The sequence below is a fragment of the Homo sapiens genome, chromosome 13 (assembly GCF_000001405.40).
Source record: "Homo sapiens chromosome 13, GRCh38.p14 Primary Assembly".
Lineage (NCBI taxonomy): Eukaryota > Metazoa > Chordata > Mammalia > Primates > Hominidae > Homo > Homo sapiens.
In genome coordinates, this window is record NC_000013.11 from 105954198 (window position 1) to 105959667 (window position 5470).

The 5470-nt window shown below is 40.5% G+C and overlaps 1 annotated feature.

Moving 5' to 3' along the window:
* Nucleotides 3325-4524: an enhancer, noted in NCBI's record as "BRD4-independent group 4 enhancer chr13:106609871-106611070 (GRCh37/hg19 assembly coordinates)". NCBI's record gives its function as "activates an origin of replication core promoter dependent on BRD2, P300/CBP, MED14 and CDK7 cofactors, and independent of BRD4, by STARR-seq in HCT116 cells {active_cell/tissue: HCT116}" and the evidence as "EXISTENCE:reporter gene assay evidence [ECO:0000049][PMID:35650434]".

The following is a 5470-nucleotide window of genomic DNA, read 5'->3' on the forward strand; positions in this document are numbered from 1 at the left end:
TGCCTTAATTGCCTCCATCCTTACTTTTTTATTTAATATTATTCATAAATATTTGTTCAAATAATATTTTGTGAATACTGCCAACTTGCATCTTATCTTCTTCTATTGCCTTACCGTAACTTCTTTGAGTTCTACTTTGAGATCTCCTTTATAGCAGTACGTGATTCATTTTCTTGAAGTATCTTTTCATTAGTCAAGCGCTGGTTCTTTTCACTTACGTTTGAGCGAAGTGAGTTCATCCAGAAGAAGGTGTTAGCAAGAGCATTATGTGATACAAAGGCATGTTCATACCTTAGCCCAGAGGGGCACAGATGGGTGTAAGTAAGTGATGATATAGAAGTTAGTGCTGGAGTTGCTTGGTAGATTAAAATAACACTTTCTGATTTTGTAAATATGTGCTTTTGGGAGACAGATTTGGGATTTCCAAATCCGGAATTGTTTCCTGGAAGAATGGGTAAGTCTTTGGAAGTAGCTCTGACTCTCAAGTAGACACAGTGGGTAGGGAGCGAATTGGAATAAGAAACCGCCTTATAAACAAAGGTGGAAGATAGTAAAATAGACTGTGCGTTGAAAGAATGTGCAAAGAGAACAATGGACTTATTGAAAATCCACTGTGCCTCATGCACCATGCATTTTTCCTACAATATGCTCAAGAAATGTGTTATAACTTCCAGGAATAATTTACCTTTTAAATTTACAGTAAATTTTCAACAGTGATGGGAGAAAGGGAATCCTTCAGGCATCTGCCTAGCTGTGTTGTTTTATTCTGGAGAAGATGTGAGTGTGGGTGGTTCTTTTCTTAGCCATTGTCCTAGTTCTTATAACAGGGGATTTTTAAGAAATCTTCGGATTTTTAAAAAAATATTGGCATGTGTAATTTAATAATGTCTTTATTTTCAGAATTATTTTGGTGTCACATGTACTAGGAAGAAATTTCATAGTTTTGTATCTTGAGGGTAAATGTCATTCATAACCTATATTATTTAAAAATTATAGGGCAGGTGCGGTGGCTCACGCCTGTAATCCCAGCACTTTGGGAGGCTGAGGCTGGCAGATCATGAGGTCAGGAGATTAAGACCATCCTGGCCAACATCGTGAAACCCCGTCTCTACTAAAATGCAAAAACTTAGCTAGGCATGGTGGCACACACCTGTAGTCCCAGTTACTCAGGAGGCTGAGGCAGGGGGATGGCTTGAACCTGGGAGGCGGGGATCGCGGTGAGCCAAGATTGCGCCACTGCACTCTAGCCTGGCGACAGAGTAAGACTCTGTCTCAAAAAAAAAAAGATTACAAAAACATTTGTGACATGACCACCTTCCTTATGTATTAGCATCTGGTTAATTGCAGCTACATGTGTTTCAGATATATTGCTTTTATTTTTTTCTTTTGAGATGGAGTCTCATTCTGTCGCCCAGGCTGGAGTGCAGTGGCACCATCCTGGCTCACTGCAACCTCTGCCTCCCAGGTTGAAGCGATTCTTGTTCCCCAGCCTCCTGAGTAGCTGGGTCTACAGGCACAAGCCACCATGTCTGGCTAATATTTTGTATTTTTAATAGAGACAGGGTTAACTCAGGTGATCCACCCGCCTTGGCCTCCCAAACTGCTGGGATTATAGGCGTAAGCCACAGCACCTGGCGTATTCTTTATTGGAATATAAAATCTATGAAGGCAATGAATTTGATTTTATTCTCCTAGCCCTAGAAGTGTCTCTGGCATGTAAGTTTTTGAGAACATTGATTGTTTCTTCATCTGAAAACCAAACACAAAGTAAATGACAACATGTGCAAAATTTACAAACATTAAATAAATGCTTTTATAGTTTCCAATAAAACTACAAATAGAATTCTATAATAGTATGTTAAAGTATAAAGTTGTATAAGACCATCACATCAATTATTATAACTAAATATATTCACTGCTTACCTGGATAGAAAGCACCCAGGCATATTTTTAAAGAACAAATGAATAGATTGGTAGAAAAATGCATGCACGTACAGGGAGGTTTAGCTCACTACTCTTCCTCTGTTGCTTTCCACAAATACTTACTGAGAACTAATCTAAATATATATAGAAAGGAATAAGCTGCAGTTCTTGTGGACAATATACTCAATTTTTAGAGGGTATATTAGTACAAAAGTAATTAATAATAAAAAAGATAAGGGCAAAAATGAAGATAGATAGATATCAAGGGTTATAGAAACATGGAGAAAATCTGAACTAGCTCTAGGTAATGGCTTCATGGAGGAAACCTTGGCTGAGTATATCTTCAAAATGAGTAGAAGGCCACACGGCAGAGAAAAATATTCCAGGCCAAGAGATTAAAATAATTCAGCCGGGCATGCTGGCTCACATCTGTAATCCCAGCACTTTGGGAGGCCAAGGCAGACGGATCACTTGAGGTCAGGAGTTCGAGACCAGCCTGGCCAACATGGCGAAGCCTTGTCTCTACTAAAAATACAAAAATTAGCAGGGCATGGTGGCGGGCGCCTGTAATCCCAGCTACTCAGGAGGCTGAGGCAGGAGAATTGCTTGAACGTGGGAGGCAGAAGTTGCAGTGAGCCAAGATCGCACCACTGCATTCCAGCCTGGGTGACAGAGCAAGACTCTGTCTCAAAATAATAGTAGTAATTCAAAACACAAAATGAGCAACACTGTGCCCTAGACAGAGTGAAAACTACTGGGACTTGATCCTGGGAAGTGAGGGAGGGAATGGTAGGAGCTCATCTCTCTTAAGACAGGGGTCGTTCAGGAAGGCATTCATTCGGTGAATGGAAATTTTTAAAATAGCGACTATTTTTTCTCAAATCTAAATTCTCTTAGGCTTGGCATGTTGCTGGTGTTGTTTAGCGACATCTCAGCTTTGAGCTGGCATCTCTCCAGCTCCCTTGGCTTGTCCTTATGGCTACAGTCCGTCCGCAAGAGCTTCAGGCATTAGGACTTAACTATTGCATTCAAAAGCTGAAATGCAAGGAGCTGTGGCTTCAGGCAGAGAGGAACATCTCTGCCAGAAACTCCCATGAGGTTTTCCAAAATATACAGCAGAAGAAGATCACATGCCCAAAACTAAACAAGTAGCTCAGCCCCAGCTTCCCTGATAAAGAGGTCTCATCCAGACACTTCACACAAATTGGATTCTGCAGAAAAAGAAGGAGGAGGTGGCTTAAAGTAGGCAATAAGCAATGTTTATTGTGTGTATTTGGGGGCCAGATATGGAATCCTTATTTGATATGCTGTATTAATAAATGGGCTTTTAGCATGGTGTTAATGAATAACCATGGAAAGATTTGGTAGGAAATCACTGCAACAAGAGTCGTAATTTAGGAAGATGATTCTGTTGGTAATGGAAAGTTTAGTCTGGGGCAGGAAAAAGAATAAACATAGAGCAGCCAGGAGGCACTTACTGTAGCTTAGGTGAGAAAAGATGAGAGCCTGGACGAAGCAGAATCGGACATGGATGGCAGTAAAGTTGTTTTAATGTTATTTTCTTGATTATAGTAAAAGTAACTGATTGGCTGAGTGTTAGGGAGTACAGTTAAGGATGGAGTACAGTTAAGGATGGTGAAGAAATAAAGTTAACTAAAGGGTTTTTTTTTCTTTTGGTGGTGTTGTTTGTTTCTTACATTAGCGGTAACTACTGAGGCTGTTGGCCAGAAAGGAAATGGTACAGATGGAAGAGATTCTCTAGCTGATGTGACACGAAGTTCAGGTTTTGATTTTGAGGTGTATGTGGAACTGTTAGTGTATTAGTCAGGGTTCTCTCGAGGGGCAGGACTAATAAAGTAGATGTAAACAAAAAGGGAGTTTATTAAGGAGAATTGACTCACACGATCACAAGGTGAAGTCCCACAATAGGCTGTCTGCAAGCTGAGGAGCCAGGAAGCCAGTCCAAGTCCCAAATCTCAAAAGTGGGGAAGCTGACAGTGCAGCCTTCAGTCTGTGGCCAAGGCCCGAGAGCCCCTGGCAAACCACTAGTGTAAGTCCAGGAGTCCAAAAGCTGAAGAACTTGGAGTCCAATGTTTGAGGGCAGGAAGCATCTAGCATGGGAGAAAGATGGAGGCCAGAAGAGTTAGCCAGTCCAGTCCTTCCACGTTCTTCTGCCTGCTTTTGTCCTAGCCGGATTGGCAGCTGATTAGTTGGTGCTGGCAGCTGATTGAAGGTGGGTCTGCCTCTCCCATTCCACTAACTCAAATGTTAATCTCCTTTGGCAACACCCTCAGAGGCACACAGAGGAACAATACTTTGCATCCTTCAGACCAATCAAGTTGACACTTAATATTAACCATCACAGCCAGGAATAATTGCACTGAAAAATTGCAATCTGTATCTCAGGCAAAAGGTCAACAGTTATTCTAGATATTTAGTAATAATTGGCATCAAAGTATTTTTTTTAATTCTATGGGAATATTTAAAACAGGCAAAGAGAAGGAAGACACAGGGCAGAAACTGGGGAAGTCATAAGCGTTTGCCTTTAATTATTAAAAGAAAGTATCCCAAACAAATATATTCAAGATAGAAAAGAAACTGGAACAAAATAACATCACAAAAACCAAGGAAGATGAGAACTTTAAAAAGAAAGCTTGTAGTCAACAGTGTCAAATAGCCTAAGAGTCAACAAGGAAGAGAATTAGAAAGAGGAGGTAAATGGACCAGTTAGGAAATTATTAACATTATTGAGAGCAGACTTGGTGTAATATTGCAGTAGGCTCTAACTGGACTATCGGATTTGAAGTAAAGCAAACTGATATTGCTATTTCAAAAATTTTGCAGGACTATGTATAAAAATGTATCTTATGAAGATGGCAAGGTCATATAATAACTTTTTTTTTTTTTTTTTTGAGACAGATCTCCTGTCACCCAGGCTGGAGTGCGGCAGCGTGATCTCGGCTCATTGCAGCCTCTGCCTCCTGAGTTCAAGTGATTCTCCTGCCTCAGCCTCCCAAGTAGTGGAGATTACAGGAGCCCGCCACCAGGCCAGGCTAATTATTGTATTTTTAATAGAGATGTGGTTTCAACCAGGCTGGTCTAGAACTCCTGACCTCAAATGATCTGCCCTCCTTGGCCTACCAAAGTGCTGGGGTTACAGGCGTGAGTCACCATGCCTGGCCAAATGTTTAACTTTTAAAGAAACCATCCAACGGTTTTCAAAGTTGGTTTTGTTAGTTCCCACCACCCCAAGCAATGGATGCTCCAAATCCTTACTAACATTTGGCTTTCTCAGTCTTTCTTTTTGAAACTTTAGCCATTCCAGTAGGTGTGTAGAGGTGTCCTGTTGTGGTTACAATTTGCTTTTCAAGTAAGAAACTCGTACTGGTCTCAATAGTCTCCACTAAAAAAAATTTTTTTCAACCAGAAGAAGACTGGGAAGAGAATATTTGGGTCGATTTTCATATTGATTTTTTTAAAGTTAAATACAAATGGAATGAGAAAATTAAGTGTTCTCTTGAGTCTGCAACTGAATTTATTCTCTAAG